The 16,960-nt window shown below is 40.2% G+C and overlaps 2 long non-coding RNA genes and 1 pseudogene across 2 annotated transcripts, besides 2 other annotated features; 1 reads left to right on the forward strand and 2 right to left on the reverse strand.

Annotated features, from left to right (window-relative positions):
- Positions 1-5,170: 5,170 nt before the first annotated feature.
- Positions 5,171-6,476, reverse strand: LINC00526 (long intergenic non-protein coding RNA 526). The gene has a single exon (NR_026849.1). It is a non-coding gene; the product is annotated as a long intergenic non-protein coding RNA 526 (long non-coding RNA).
- Positions 6,493-6,662: a silencer, noted in NCBI's record as "silent region_9260". NCBI's record gives its function as "represses an Ori minimal core promoter by ATAC-STARR-seq in GM12878 lymphoblastoid cells {active_cell/tissue: GM12878}" and the evidence as "EXISTENCE:reporter gene assay evidence [ECO:0000049][PMID:35858748]".
- LINC00667 (long intergenic non-protein coding RNA 667) lies at positions 6,547-14,955 on the forward strand. The gene is made up of 3 exons (NR_015389.1): positions 6,547-7,496; positions 10,146-10,259; positions 12,041-14,955. It is a non-coding gene; the product is annotated as a long intergenic non-protein coding RNA 667 (long non-coding RNA).
- Positions 6,883-7,062: an enhancer, noted in NCBI's record as "active region_13054". NCBI's record gives its function as "activates an Ori minimal core promoter by ATAC-STARR-seq in GM12878 lymphoblastoid cells {active_cell/tissue: GM12878}" and the evidence as "EXISTENCE:reporter gene assay evidence [ECO:0000049][PMID:35858748]".
- Positions 8,710-9,593, reverse strand: LOC100422274 (transforming acidic coiled-coil containing protein 3 pseudogene; annotated as a pseudogene).
- Positions 14,956-16,960: the final 2,005 nt, after the last annotated feature.

The raw sequence follows: 16,960 nt of genomic DNA on the forward strand, positions 1-16,960 counted from the left end.
GGTTTTCCTTTATAGGTTACCTGATGCTTTTGCCTCACAGCTCTTAAGATTATTTCCTTTTTCTTGACTTTAGATAACCTGATGACTATTTGCCTAGGCAATTCTCTTTTTGTGATGAATTTCCCAGGTGTTCTTTCAGCTTTTTGTATTTGGATGTCTAGTTCAACAAGGCTGGGGAAGTTTCCCTCAATTATTCCCTCAAATATGTTTTCCAAACTTTGAGATTTCTCTTCTTCCTTGGGAACACCAATTATTCTTAGGTTTGGATGTTTAACATAGTCTCAGACTTCATGGAGGCTTTGTTTGTTTTGATAAATTCTTTCCTCTTTGTCTTGGGTTGGGTTAATTCAAAAGCCTTGTCTTCGAGCTCTGAAGTTTTCTTCTGCTTGTTCAGTTTGATTGCTAAGACTTTCCATTGCATTTTGCATTTCTCTAAGTGTGTCCTTGATTTCCAGAACTTGTGATTGTTTTTTATTTATGCTATCTGTTTCACTGATGAATTTTCCTTTCGTATCCTGTATCATGTTTTTGATTATCTTAAGTTGGACTTCACCCTCTGGTGCCTCCTTAATTAGCTTAATAATCGACCTTCTGAATTCTTTTTCTGGCAATTAAGAGATTTAGTCTTGGTTTGGATCCACTGCTGGTGAGTTGGTATGATGTTTTGGGGGTGGTAAAAAAAAACAAAAAACAAAAAAACAAAAAACAAAACAAAATAAACCCTTGTTTTTTCATATTACTAGAATTGTTTTTCTGGTTCCTTCTCATTTGGGTAGACTATGTTAGAGGGAAGATCTGGGATTCAGGGCTGCTGTTCAGATTCTTTTGTCCCATGAAGTGCTCCCTTGATGTGGTGCTCTCTTGCTTCCCCTAGAAATGGACTTCCTGAGAGCCAAACTGTAGTGATTGTTTTTTTCTCTTCTGGGTCTAGCCACCCAGCAGAGCTACCAGGATCCAGGCTAGTACTGGGGAATGTCTGCAAAGAGTCCTGTGATGTGATCCAATTTCAGGTCCTGCAGCTGTGGATGCCAGTACCTGCTCTGGTGGAGGTAAGAGGGGAGTGAAGTGGACTCCATGAGGGTCTTTGGTTGTGTTTTTGTTTAGTGCACTGGTTTTGTGTTGGTTGGCCTCCAGCCAGGAGGTGGCACTTTCAAGAGTACATCAGCTGTGGCCCTATAAGGAGGTTGCAAACTTGCCCTTGGGACACCTGGTTAAGTATTCTATTTTTTTGTTTTTTTAATTCTTCGGCTAAGGCAGCAGCAGAAGTGATTTATTGTATGATTGTTACACCCGTCCACAAGTGAATACAGAAGTAGTACAGAATGTCACAGTTCCAGGGCAAAGGACCAAGATGGACAGTTTTGATTATGAGCAAGGTGGGTCTCAGAGGTGGTCTCAGCGATCAGATGGCAATGAAAGTTCTAGATCCATTGAGACAAGCTCTAGACAGTAGCATGCAGTCCAACAACTTGTGCCAGCATCCCCAGCCTCTGGCACTTCATGTTTCTGCTGCTGTGGCCTCCGCGGGTGCACAAGCTAGCAGTTTACTTGGCCCTCTGCCTCACCTTTCTTCTTTTGCGTTTCAGCCTGCGCATTCACTTCTTTCTCTGCTTGGCTCTCATGGTGCAGAAGTTTCCAAGAAGATGGCGCTAAGGCCGAGAGAGCAAAAGTTGTTTTTGAAGTCAGACAGACCTGAATTTAATTCTGAACTCTACCACTTAATAACTGTGACATGGACCAGGCAACTGAGGATGGCTGATTATTATAACTTATTGTTATTATAAGTTATTATTATTATAACTTGTTTATCCCATATTAGTGAAAGACTTAGTAGACAATTGTTCATATATATAAACTCATGATACACATAAAGAAACATGCCATTATGAGAGCCATCAGAAACAACAGATATTGATTCTCAAGGATTCAGAATTATCACATACAGAATATAAAATATCTGTGAAAAGTTTAATAAAATGAAAAAATAAATGAGCAAGAGACATAGGATTAACAAAATAGACTTACTTTAAAAATAACTACATAAGCTTCTAGAAATAAAAGACATAACTATTGAAATTAAGAATGCAATCGATAGGTTATGCAGCAAACTTAAAGCAACTGTAGATAATATAACTGAAATGAAAGATAGCTCAAATAATTTACCCAGAAGTAGCAGAGAGATAAGGATCTAGTAACTGTAGGAGATTAAGAGAAAGACAGACTGGAATAATAATAAGATCTAATGTACTGCTAATATGAGCTTCAGCCAGAGAAAATAGAAAGAATGAAAGAGAAGCTATGTTTGAAGACATAACAGCTGGGATATTTTCAGAAGCAAAGTCATAAACCCACAGATACAGGAAACACAAATGTATTAAACAAGCTAAATACAAATATATCCTCTCCTAGACAGTTTGTAGTGAAACCGTAGCCCCAAAGGCAAGGAAAATATTTTTTTACAGGCAAGGGGATAAAACAATTAGACTAATAGTTCAACAAGCTGATTCTAAAATGTATATAGAAGAACAAAGACCTGAGAATAGCCAAGACACTCCTGAAGAAGACAAATAAGACAGAAGAAGACTGTTCTTCTTAAATTATCATAAAGCTCTATAAATTAAGACAACTTGGTATTTATGGAAATACAAGCAAATAAATAGAACAGAATAGAAACCTCAGAATCACACATACATAGAAACTTGATATATGAGAAAGATGGCATAGCAAACCCGTGAGTAAAGAAGAGACTACTTAATAAGTATTCTTGGAACAAATGTTCAGTCACAAGGAAAAACTAATTGGGTGGGGCATAGTGGCTTATGCTTGTAATCCCAACACTTTGGAAGACAAAGGTGGGAGGAATACTTGAGCCCAGGAATTCAAGACCAGCCATGGAAACAGAGTGAGACCCCTGTCTCTGCAAATGAAAAAATTATCTGGATGTGGTAGCACATGCTTGTATTCCCAGCTACTTGGGAGTCTGAGGTGGGAGGATCGTTTGAGCCTGAGAGGTCAAGGCTGCAGTAAGCCATGGTCACACCATTGCCCTCCAGCCTAGGGAACAGAGTGAGACCTTGTGTCCAAAAATAAATAAATAAGAAGAAAGACAAAATAATTGGATCTGATCTCACAAAATGTTAATTCCAAGACTTAAAATAAAAAGGCAAGACTTTAAAGCTTTAAAAAAGAAGTGCAGAATTTTTTTTTTACTTTGAGGTTGGAAGAGTTTAAAGCCATTTTAAAAATGTTAAACACAAGAGAAGATAGATAAATTCAACTAAATCAAAGTAATTTCTACTCATCAAAAGATATAAAAACAAATTATAAAGGAAAGCCACAATCTTGGAGATATTCAATCCACATAACTGACAAAAGTTTCATGTCCAAGATATGTCCAAGAACTCTTGCAAATTGATTAGGGGGAAAAACACCTCCATGAAACAGATAAAATGCATGAACAAGCATGGCACAGAACAAGCAGTACCTGAAGACATATGAAAAGATGCTCAGCCACACTAATAATCAAGAAAGTACAAATTAAAACAACTCATTAGCTATAGCTTTACTCCTACTACATTGGCAAATTTAAGAGTTCTGAAAGTACCAAGTGTTGGTAAAAGTATAAACTTTTTAAAATATTGTATTTTAAACAACTACAATAGTAGAAACAACTATTTTAGAAAACACTGTAGCATCACCACATGCCCTCTAACCCAGCAATTCCACTCCTAAATATATGCCCTACAAATATTCTTAACATGTGCACCAGAAGACATATAAAGAATAATCATATAATTGTAATAGCAAAAGGTTAGAGACAGTCCAAACATCAGGAAAATCGGCACATAAACTATGGTATATTCATAGTAGTATATTATGTATCAACAAGAAGAAATGAACTAATACTACATGGCACAACTTGGAGGAATGATAGAAACAATCTTGAATTAGTGAAGCAAGTTGCAGAAATCTGAAAGTCATACTAATTGTATAAATCTCAGAAACAAGCAACATTAAGCACACATATATGTGTGTGCACTATACTTATATGTAAACCATACTTTTAAAAGTATGTAGATATATAGATCTTGATCGATAGATATAAAACTACACTTAAAAAATAAAACAGGTATGATAATGATTAACCCAAATCTCAGGTTAGTGGTTAACTCTGTAAAGATGGGATAGGGGAATAACAGTAAATTCAACAATCTAGGTCTTCATATGGGCCATAGATTCAGGAGTGTTTGCTTTGTTTCATTACTTAAAAACAGACATTGCATACCTATTGAAGATCTGTCATATATCTGGCCACGTTGTTTTAAAATTTTATTTTCTAATATATACCTACAAAAGAATATATGTAGCTATCATTAGTCAGTGGTAGGCACATCCTGAGTGTTTTGAGCATGACTGCCTAGTCTCGTTATTTGCTTCATAAATTTCATGTAAATTATAAAGGACAAAGTAAGAGTTCATTTTGGCTTTGCAACTTTAAATGGCATTTTGATACTACCTTTAGCTCCAGATAAATTCCATAAATTATACTGACTCGGTAGATGGCTTTCCTTTTTTAGAAGAGTTGAATATAATGACATGTTCCTTTTCCCTCAGCAAAGAAAATAACGTCTAGCTATAAAGGAATAGGCATATACTACATGTTCTTCAGATCGAGCCTCAGATCTGAAACGCAGTCTTACTTAACCTCTGCATGCATCCTTCCTTCCGTTTAAGCATTTGTTAAAAAATGGAAAGCATTTCTATTTTCTTAACTTTTTCTTTCATTTAATGTCTTTTTTAATTTAGAGTTTATTTGAGCATCCAGTGATTCATGAATCAGTCAGCACTAGACCACAAGCAGTTCAGTGCTCCACTGTGGAGGCAAAAAGGGAAAACTTTTGTAAGATGTTTGCAGACACAAAACAAATAAAAATATTTGGTTAAATTGGGAAGTCCCTAGTGAGAAGTTGGTTGACAGTTTCTAGTTGGTTAAGCTTAAGTTTTGTTTTCTGGATTTAACGTCTTGTTTCTATAATTATAAAATGAATACAGTCACTTCAGAAACCTAGAAATGTATAAAGTAAAAATTTTCCACAATACTCCACCCAAAGATAACTTTTTTGAGTATGAATTTGTTCTTCCTCAAAATACGCGTTTTAAACAATTGATATCAAAATGCATCTTGTTTATTTGGCTTTTGAAACTGTTATAACACAACTTATAACATTGGAAATACATTATTTTATTAATACAAAGTAGTTTTCATAGTAAAATACCAAATTAATTAAAAGGCAGAATGAAACGTACCATATACATGTAGACGACAAATGAAAACTGTCAAAGTATCCTTCTCTCTAAAAAGCCACAAATTACGTTCTTTGAAGTAAGTATTGGGTTTTATTTCCTAAACTATACACATCAATATCACCTCCTGAAGCTTTTTACCCAGTTTCACGGTTGGTATTTCGGACATGCAATGTTCCATGCTGTCAAACTTGGAATGCCTCGTTTGGATACAGGGAGACAAAGACTTGGAGACCCAGAAGCCTGAAAGTGGTTCTTGACCGACTTTGTCCACTCAAATTAAGGCATCATGCAGCTGGTCATCACTTACATTGCTGGTTGCACGCAGGCACACACACACCAGTGCTCACAGCCAGCACTTGTTAAGAATGGTTGAGCTGGACCAAATGGTATACGTGTCTTTCATCAATATAAACATGGACTGCATTCATCTGGACACGGGCCTTTCCCGCCTACCGAGCCTGCCCACCACCCGAAGTTTAAGCTCATCTTGGAGGACCTGACACTCAGGAAGCCGTCTCCCGTTGTTCCACCGGCTTTGTGGCCCCAATGTCTGTATAAGCTGCTGATTTGCCTTGGGAAAACAAACCAGCATCGATTTCAGAGAAATTACTGGATAATTTGCGCTGTGAGGCGCCTAGATCGCAAGGCGCACTCCGCAAATGACAGCCGCTCCCGTGCACTTGTCCAGTCATTCGGGTGGCATACTGTCCGGGTGGAAGCCCGCCAAAATAATCCATTTGGAAGGGACGGAGGGCTTCGTCAGAAATTGCCTTCTTGTAGCTATGAGACATTGAGCAAAACAGATAAGAACTGGGGCAATGGAGGCATAAACATTAAGGCTAGGATGTATTTTTGGGGAGAAAGCGGCGGCTAGCAGGGACGAAGCTCAACTTCATGCGCCGCGCCCCGGAATGCTTTGCCTTTAGCCACTAGCGGAGCCGCCCGCCTGAGGGAGCCCTCCGGGAGTGAGCGCACGCAACCGTGCAGTCAGATTCCTCCGCCGACCGCGGCCCTCTCTCCTCGGGCTTTGCCTTCGCTCTCTAGCTTTTCTTCTTTCACTCCCGCTCGCCGACTCCAGCCCGCTGGGCTCACGCTCTGCCGGACACCAATCCCGGCGGCCCTGCCCGACGGAGCTCAAGGCTAGGCCTGGCCTTGTCCGCGGAGTCCGCCCCTCGCCGCCACCGGGATCCGCCCCCGCGCCGACACGCACTTCCGGCAGCGCCGCGGCCGGGAGGGACCGAGCGGGGAGCAAGGCCTGCGGGGAGGCGCAGGATGGACGCGTTGGCTGTCATGATGTAGGACCTCCTGACCTAGAACCATGCCCGGCGCAGGGAGAACAACGAGCTTACGGACCGGGTGCGGGGGCTGCTGTGCGAGAAAGCCTACCTGCTGGCCCGGGAGCGTTCGCCGGCCCACCTGGTGGCTTTCCCTGGACGTTTAACGGCGACTCCGCCCGGCCTCCCGACTTTTTGATGCAGGCGTTCTCTTACATGACTTTCTTCGAGGCTAGATTCTCGAAAGACATCCTGAAGGTGGCTTTCTTAATTAGCTGCCTCACCGGCTGGCGGAGCAGTTCGTAGTCGCCTACATCGAGAGGGAGAGCCCCGTCCTGGCTCAGTACTGGGGCTTCGTGGACGCGCTGTAGCGGGTCTTCGCCGTCGTGGGTAGGAAACAGTCGGGCCGGATCCCCGGTGTCTGGGGAGCGGCTGCCGGCCGGGCCCGCGCGAGCCGCTTCACTCCTACAAGCCCGGCTCACTAGTTCCAAGCTGCTGGACTTTGACCCTCGCTGGGAAGCTTGATCGCCGCCTGTTCTCGCCAATCTCTATGCCTTTGCACTGCCCAGCAACCCGGTCACTGCCCAGGACCTGTTAAAAGTTGAATGGACCTCCCAGAATCACGCCGCTGCCACCGCCGTTTCTAGAGACGGCTTTTGGCCACCTTTGAGAATCAGGGTCAAACTTGGAAGGGCCTGCATTTGTCACACTTCCTCGGACACTAATTTGGATAGTTCAGGCCCAGAGACGGCTTCCCGGGTTAGTGTGCCTGACAACACTGAAGAAAAATTGTGACATTTTCCTTCCCCAGAATTACTTCGTTTTATACATTTCACTTCTCTTCTGAAATCACAGCAATGCCAGTTTGCGCCTTTTGGTCTGAGGAACGCAGGCCCTGGCCACTACCAGGAAAAAGTATTTACTTTTAAAACTTGAATGTATATCTTTACCGTATGCCTAGTACAGTAGTGCTTGGAAGAAACAGATTAGTAAGACAAAATATATGTCTTCAAGAACACTTACGTTCTGAGAAAGAATTCTGAATGCAGATTCTAATGTCTGGTAAAATGCTTTACAGTGTAAAGAATGCATATATGATTCTTATTTTATGGCATTTTAAACTTTCCACCCCACGGTTTTAAAGTGTTAATATATGTTAAAAATATATGCAATTTATAAAGGAGAAGGAAAGCCCAGCTTGATTTTTGCTGCCAAAGATGGTATATTTAAAATTAAACGTAACTAATGGCAAAAAATAATGGGAATGGTGCAGTCTTTGAGCTGTATCCAGTTGGCATTATTCTCTTGGACTAAAAGGAATAGTATTAACTTCCTCACTTTGGGTAAGCCACTTTAGATTTTTGGGCTGCAGTTTTCTCAGGTAATTAGAGACTTTATATTATGAAAGTTTGGTTCACAATTCTTTGAGTCTCTTTTGGGAACAAAGAAGGTAAGAGGAGGATATGTGCCCTCCTCTCAATCAAGGGGTTTCTTGAAACCCTCTAAGGAGAAAAATCTGAAACTGCCTTTCCTAAAACGTTCATGGGTTTGTCATTCTGATGATCAATATCGTCCCACTGAAGTATCTTTTTGAATTCCTAGTTAGGAATCTTTATGTTAAGATAAACTGATCACTCTCTCCTTCGTGGACAGTTTATCTACCTAAAGATGATAGGGGAAAACACTGTTTTTGAAAGACGAAATAAAGACATGTTGTAGCAGTTATTTTATTGCCAGTTAGTATTACAAAAGTTCCTAAGGAACTCCCCATTAACTTGGCCTCATATGAACTACGCTTGAGTCCCGTTTTAAATTGAGTCTTGATCGTATTTACTGACAGTTTCAAAGCAGCGTTTTTTTTTTTCCTCCATAGTAAAAAACCTACAGGATACCACCACCAAAGGAAAAAACAAGTTTTTTTCAGTAAACCTCACAAGAGCATACATTTGATAGAATACACGGATTTTCTAATGAAAGCTCGCCGTCACCATTTTATAAGTCAGAACATGAAAGTCAAAATATCTCATACAGATGTCTTTTTTTTTTGAGAAGGTACACAAGGCTTGCTTGTAGAGATGGAGTTACATGGAGGGACAGAAGGTCACTGGTCAGTGATTTTAGGTTTTTATACTTCTGAAAACAGGTAATTACAGATTCTGATCAGTTTATCATTTTCTTTAGTCTTTTATTTTCTGCTGAATGCTCTCAAGGGAACGGATCCATACCTGTTTATCAGGCTCACCTGGAAGAGCCAAGTCATCCACTCAGGTCTTCCTCTGGACCTGCATAATTTCCTCATTTACTAGATTGGGTTTCTTTTATGTGTGGGCTTTTAATGCTTGGTATCTCTGGTCTTCCTAATATGTAATGCTTAGCATAATAATTTTAGCCATTATTCATTTTTGTAGTAGGCTTCACTAGCTTCCTGCTTCTCAAATCCCTTGAAAAGATGAGATTTTTTTTTCGTGGAGTTCACGTCTAGTAAGTTGGTCTTGATTTTTTTTTTCTTTCAGAACCTTCTGGATTTCAGCTTTGGCAAGCTTCCTCTGTTTCTGAGACACCTCCATCACCTGGGTTACAATCCCATCCATGATTTTCCCCATCTCCAGGCATTTTTCATGGAAAGCTCCTCATGCTTTTTAATTCCAGTTTATCCATTTGTGTGGCTTTAACCTCCACATCCAGGTCTTTCTGGCTAAACTGCAGTATATCCACAATGGGGCCAATGGACACATAAGGGAGGCCCTATCACAGGAACACGAACACCCGGAGTCGCTAGAAATCAGATTCCACCGGCTTTGCTTCAGGCCGACTTCCTAAGGAAGGCATGGTAGCATCACAGATGCTGTTTGTCTCAGTTTCCTGAGAAGCCAGTTTCTTAGAGCTGTCATTCAAGAGTGGGTCAAATTTGAGATATAAAAACCTTTCTCAAGGTAGACTCTTTGGCCCCTATGCCTAGTATGTCAGCTGGGCCTCTGAAGCTCTCCTCTTTGAGGTCCTGGCAGGCTCTGGCCCCTGTTGAGAAGGGGAAGCAGTCATGTGAACTCATGTGCTGGAAGAATCCACTCTACCCCTTCCCTGGCTTCTCTGCTGCAATTTTTGTCTTTAAACGTATTTTCAGGTGATTCCAGTTTGCATACATAATTGAGAAATATAAGATTTGGTCCCCAGTAGAGAGCCAGGTGAACTTAAGAAGGAGTCCATCTAAGAAAATTGCACAATTATCTAGTTTCACTTGGGTTTAGCTTTTATGGCTTACTTGATTTAGTAATCAAATGATTTTCAAATGATTTTGATCAGGTGACTCTTCGTAAACTAGAGAATGAACTTGAGAGCCGAATTAGCACAGTTTAAAAATAATCATTTAGTTTTTGTTCTCTATTGTGTAAATTATTGAGGTTTGACTGTCTTGGCTAAACTAAGGCTCATCTAATATCTTTATTTTTGATATCCTAATTTCTTGCCAATTAATTGAAGGTAACATACTAGCAGACCAGATAACTACTTATGCAAACCTCAGATAACCACTAATTTAAACAAAATTAAATCCTTTGCCTTCCCCAGATCCTTTGCACATGGCCTGCTATCAACAATCCTCTACAATGATTCTCAGCATCACCTAGGGAGCTTATGTAAAATCTCAAATTCCTGGGCCCTATCCCCAGAGTTTCTTATCAAGTAAGTCTGCATTGGGATCTGAGGATTTGCATCTCTAACAAAAATTCCTAGGCGATGCTCACACTGTTGGTGTAAGGGTGAGTACAAATTAGAAATAAAACTATTTAATTCTGCCTGGTGCAAAGGAGAGAGAGAGACTTTTACCCTCCACATCCTTTTCTTTGGTCATTTACTTTAGGAAACTTAATTGTAAGCTTTTTCTGTGCCTCTTTGAAATGCCTGTAAATCTTTCCAAAAACTAAATTAGGCTTTTGCCAATTTTACAACCTAAGAATGTGAATTCCTCAAGGACCTGGGAGCTATCTCACTGAAATTTAATCATTGAGAAAAATAGTACCCCTATCTTTCAGCTTCCTGGAAACATAAGAGCCTAACTTTATTAGGCACCTTGCTCCATTACAAAGCTATCTTCTGTCATAAAGATACAAGAAATTTATTTTTCCCTTGGACAAAAGCAACTAACTAGCAGAGGGTCACCAAAATTACCAGGTGAATTTAGGGTGAACTCTGTGTGACAAATGGTGCTGCCAAGTTCTCTTGAGTACTATAGAAAGTGCATGACATGAATTTTTTACTTCATGATGGTGCAAAACCATTGCTTTTCACTTTCAGTATAATATTCAAGAAATTACATATTGAATATAAGATATTCAATATCTTATTCTTTATTATAGGCTTTGTGTTATATAATTTTGCCCAACTAACTGTAGGCTAATGTAAGTGTTCTGAACATGTTGAAGGTAGGTTAGACTAAGCTCTAATGTTCAGTAGGGTAGGTGTATTAAGTGCATTTTCAACTTACGAAATTTAAGCTGATATCCAAAGAATGAGTAAGAATGAGGTAAAGGAGCAAGAAAACATTGCTTCAGGCAAAGGAATAGTATGTGCAAAAGCCCTGGGGTTTAAGAATATGATGTTTTTAGAGAACTGCAAATAATTCAGTATGGTTGGAGCAGAGGGATGTGGAATGATTATTGATTCTGTTGGAGAGTAGACAGAGGCCAGATTGCTATGCTTAGATACAATTTCAACCACCTACAAATCCATCTAATTACCTACATGACCATCATCATCTGGTCATGTTTCTCCATTTTATCATTATGTATACCTTAAAGACTTGCTCACATTACTTAAAATTGAGATAGGTTAGGCATCTATCCAATCTCCCATGCCAGTAATTCTACAGAAACAGATTAGGTTAGCTAGATAAGCATGTTTACAATTAAATTTATGCTGTATCCTTCTAATCACCACTTTCTCATCAAAATGCTCACAAATCATCTGCATCATTGTCCATTCTTTAAAAATGTATAAACCCATCTCTACTAAAAATACAAAATTAGCTGGGCATGATGGCGCACGCCTGTAATCCCAGCTGTTCAGGAGGCTGAAGCAGAAGAATTGCTTGAACCCCGGAGACGGAGGTTGCAGTCAGCCGAGATTGCACCATTGCTCTCTAGCCTGGGCAACAAGAGCAAAACTCCATCTCAAAAAAAAAAAAAAAAGTATAAATTTGTATCAAGCATGCTGGCTTGAGGGTTTAAGGAATTTCTTTTTTTTATTTCTGACATACTTCTGTGGAGTGTGTTTTGCTTTCATTTTTGTTGTATTGTTTGTAATTTACACTATTAACAGTTTCTATTAGTGCTGTGGAATTAATTCCTCTTGTGCTGAAGATAGAAATATATTATTTCTAGGAAGAAATTGTCCTTATCGTCTTCACTAATATTGGACTTAGAGAGTCCTCCTATAAGACATGTTCTGTTTTTCATTTTGAACAGTTTCCTTGATGGAGAACTATCAAAGCAGTCAAAGCTATCAAAATAAAAAAGAATTCTGATTGGGTGCAGTGGCTCACACCTGTCATTCCAGCACTTTGAGAGGCCAAGGTGGGCAGATCACATGAGGCCAGGAGTTCAAGACCAGCCTGGCCAACATGGCAGAAACCCCATCTCTACTAAAAATACCAAAATTAGCCGGGCATGGTGGAACACACCTGCAATCCCAGCTACTCGGGAGGCTGAGGCAAGAGAATCGCTTGAACCTGGGAGGCAGAAGTTGCAGTGAAACAAGTTGGTGCCAATGCATTCCAGCCTGGATGATGGAGCGAGACTCTGTCTCAAGAAAAAAAAAACAAAAACAAAAACAGAACTCTGCCTCATAGCGTCTTTTAAGTTATACACTGGACCTATCCTTTCCTCACTGACAGACATTTTAAAAATTTTTTGGTAAGGCCTAGTTCATATAAAATGTAATCCAAGCCAAAAGTTAACAAGAATAAGGGGAGGAAAGGGGACTCCAATAGCAGAGAAAGGTATTTACCTGGGATATACACTGCAAGAAAATCAAAGCTATAAGAAACGTCCATGAATAGTAGCCATAAGGCATCAGAGTGATAAAATTCCTGTCCCTAGGAGGGAATATTGGAGTTTGCCAGAGAAACAGAATGAGAGAGACAGAGAGGTTTATTGTAGGAATTGGCTCATATGATTACGGAGGCTGAGAAGACCCACGATCTGCCATCTGCAAGCTGGAGAATCAGGAAAGCTGGAGGTGTAATTCAGTCAAGTCCAATGGCCAGAGAAGCAAGTGTACTGATATCCAAGAGCAGGAGAAAATAGATGTCCCAGAACAAGCAGAGAGGCTGATTTTGTCCTTCCTCTGCCTTTTTGTTTCATATGGGGCACTGAATGGACTGATGCCCATCCACATTAGTGAGGGTGGATCTTCTTTACTCAGTCTACCAGTAGAAATGTCAATGACTTCCAGAAACACCCTCACCAACACACGTGGAAATAATGTTTTACCAGGTATCTGGGCATCCCTTGGTTCACTCAAGTTGACACAAAATTAACCATCACAGAAGGAGACTGGCCTTACTCTGAAATTAGGAAACTAAAGAAGTGACCAGAATGGAGACTAGGTAGAGACAACTAGTTCTCTACCAAACATGTACAGTTATTCGTTGGTATCTGAAGGGGATTGGTTCCAGGAACTCTCAGGGATACCAAAATCTGCAGGTGCTCAAGTCATTTATATAAAATATTACAGTATTTGCATATAACCTTTGCACATCTTCCATATACTTTAAATCATCTCTACATTACTTATAATAATGAATGTGTAAATGCTATGAAAATAGTTACTACACTATTGTTTATTTGTATTTTTATTGAATTGTTTTGGGGTGGGGGGCAGCTGTATCTTTCTTAGTAATAGAACCCCTGGTTTTAGCTGGGCACATGACTGCCCTCAATAAAGATTAAAGTACCCCAGCCTTCCTTGAGATTGTGGCCATGTGACTGAACTTTAGACAGTGAGATATAAGCAGATATCTTCTGTGGCAGTGTTAGGAAACTATTAAAGACAGTAAGAACATTGCCCTTTGCCTTCTTTTTCCTTTCTTCATTTTTCTGCCTGGAATGCAAATGTGATGGCTAACACCCTAGCAGCCATTTTAGATTATGAAGATGAGAGTCACTCCCCAGGAAGGGTGGACCTGAAAGCTGGATTCTAGATGTGGAATGACAATACCAGCCCTGGACTACCTACCTGTAGGCTGTGTGTGTGTGTGTGTGATTGACAGAGAGAGAGAGAGATAGATACCACAAGTAACACAAAGCATCATACCTGGGACTGGGAAGGTTAATGTTTAAACATTTTAAATGTGGCATTGGTTTGTTGAAGACAGTCAAGCAGTAGGTGCTGCAGGCTTTGTTGAGGCTAGAAAGCTGTTGGTCTTTATTAGGTGATGGCAAAACAATGGATCACATTTTCATGTGCTGTGTCTTGGGAGGCAAATGATGAGAATGTAGGATTGGGGAAAATGGTAAGGAAAATCCAAAATGTTCATGTTTTCTAACCCCTTCTTGCCAATCTTAAAAGAAGGACAAACAGGCTAGATTAAGCAAGTCTACAGTTACAATTGGAAGGAAACACAGCCGTACTAAGGAAGTACTCTGTCTGTGGCCTGCAGTCTAGTTTGACTAGGTCCTGTATTTGAGCTTTGAAAGAGTAAAGAATACAAGTGCTCGTATACCCCTGAAGTAGTTACCAGCAGTGACTGCAAGGAGGTAATCTTATGGGATGAAACTATAACTCTGTATTAACCATCATATATAGCATATATGTGTATATGTATGTGTGTGTGTGTATATGTGTATATAAATATATGTGTGTGTATATACACACATGTACACACCCTACAACCCAGTGATTTCAAAAAATTAAACATTTGTTTAGCTCATGAATCTGTGGGTTGGGTGAACATTTCTATTGGTCTTGGCTGGGCTCACCTGTACCCAGTCAGCTGCAGGGTCTAGCTCTTCTTATCTTGGCTGGGATCTCACACATGTCTAGGATCAGCTGCTTTACTAGTCTAGGATTGTCTTGGCTGAGACAGGTGGACTACTCAGTTCTCCTCCACTGCCTTATCCTTCAGCTGGCCAGCCCAGAAATGTTGCCATGTTTACAGCATAAGAGCAAGCAAGAAAGAATAATATGCAACCACTTTTCCAAGCCTAAGGTGAAAGGGCGGGCAGAACCTGTGGTGTTAGGAGGCAACTCATACCAGCCCATGGGTCTACCGTTTAATTTTCAGAAATTTGGCAAGCTGATTGTTAACACAGCTGTTGTTTAATTTATGTACTTGTAATTAAATAATTTACATTAAAACAAAGATAATAGGTACTCAAAACTCATGACTTTCTAGTTATTTTATTATATTTTACTATTGTCTGTCCTCTTAAGGTGTTTGTTTCTAGTGTATCTGGTGGAAACACTACTTCATGTTTCAGTTGTGTCAAACCAGTAGCTTGAAATCAGCCACTGTTGGAGTGTTTATACCACAGAAATTGATAGAAGCTACAAATGAAGTGTTGCTTGTTGATTTGTTTTGTTAATTGTCTGGCTTAAGAAAGTGGTAGAGAAAACATTAATGCAGATTAAATTTAAAAGCGTGTTGTGTCTGCGGCCGTTACATTGCAAATACAAAAAATAATTGAGGAAATGTTCTTTGAAAACTATTATCTAATTCTGCAAAGTTGTCACCTCATTTACAAACAACTGCAGTTTCAGCTACCTCTTTATTGTTTTACTTTCCTCTTACTGACAATGAGAATATCAATTAACATTCATGTCAGAACTACACTTGCTCATGAACTACAACTGTAGATTGGCTATGGATAAGAAAATTTAGTGAAAGTCAAATAAAGCATTCAGTAAGAGTTGGCTATATAGAACTTACAGAAAAGATTATTGCATATTTTCTTATTTGTCAATGTGTGCTACACATATTTTCAGTAAAATTTATAACATAATGTATAAAGTATTTTTTAAGAAACATTTAACCAGTATGCTACTGGGCAGAAGGTTCCCCCAAGAGTAGGAGGACGCTGCAATATGCTAGGGCAAAGAGTATAGTTAGAGAGAGGGGCAAAAATTTGGGTCATTAATCCAATTAAAGTACCCTAGGCCCCTAGTCTTTCTCAAATACTTTCCATTAAGCAACTGTCAGTCAGTAGAACCTAGTGCATTGACAAAGATCAGATTGTGATTTTTGCCTATTATTTTTAAATGTCTCAAGATAGCCAACACTTCTTGGGGGGATAGGGTGTTTGAGCTTGGTATAGGGAAGAATAGGCAGAGCCTAGATGCCAGTACTGTTGGGGTGATCAGACCCAACACCGAGTCATAGGGGTGACGAAGTCCGGCGTAGTCAAAGGAATGAGAAAAGACAGTTTGAGAGAGAAAGTGAGTCCCGGGAGCCAACACTAAGTATGGAGGCTGCGAAGGCCCTGAACTCTGGAAGCCCAGACTATTTATTGGTGGTGCTCAAACAAAGAAACAGGTGGTGAGAATGTGGGGTTGAAAGGGAGCGTTGCATTAAGCACATTATGATTTACATTACGTTATGATTTGCATCGCATTATGATTTATAGCTGCAATGGTTTAGCATATGCTCTACTACTTGGGATAGTGGAGAGCAGGTTCTTTTAACTCAAGATACAGTCAATCCTGGGAGAGCAAGGAGCAAGGAGCCAGCGAGTCTAGACACATTCCAGAAGCCACGAGCCCTGGATTCTATCCAAGCCACGAGAGGTTTTATGCCCTGGGCTTAGATTATGGTGTGTCAGGGCAGCCTTCCACCCTTTAGCACAGAGCTTGGTGTTCCAGAGGCCACAAGGGGTTTTAGACCCTGGACCCCAGACATGTTCCGAGACTCTTTTACATTATGTCAGACATGCAAGTCCTGCCTCCGCGTCTCTCCCAACACTCAGCTTTTCTCCCAAGAAGTACATCACACTAAAATGTCTCAGGCTTAGAAATCGTCTAGACATTACGATCTCTGGCTACTAACATACGTGGAACTAACTGAAAGCAAATATACCAGAAGATTACTAAATTTTAAGGAAATTGTTCTTCAAAAGAAATTTCAATCCTGGCCTGTGACCATCAAGCTCCTAAAACAGTTTCTGGGTCCCCATATTCACCCTAGCAGGAAGAGAGCTTCTGCAATGGCAACCACCACAGAGGGGCTTCTGCCCCATGGCCCCTTCTCATGCAGCCATGTAATATAATGCACGTCCTAGAAAGCAGAGATAAGAACCACAAAATACAATGGGCAAGAGCTTAACTGAGGACTACCAAATAGCTAAGCAAAGAATACCCTCCTTTACTAGGGGAGGGAGCTTGTACTTTCT

This window comes from Homo sapiens, chromosome 18, assembly GCF_000001405.40.
Source record: "Homo sapiens chromosome 18, GRCh38.p14 Primary Assembly".
NCBI classification, from domain to species: domain Eukaryota; kingdom Metazoa; phylum Chordata; class Mammalia; order Primates; family Hominidae; genus Homo; species Homo sapiens.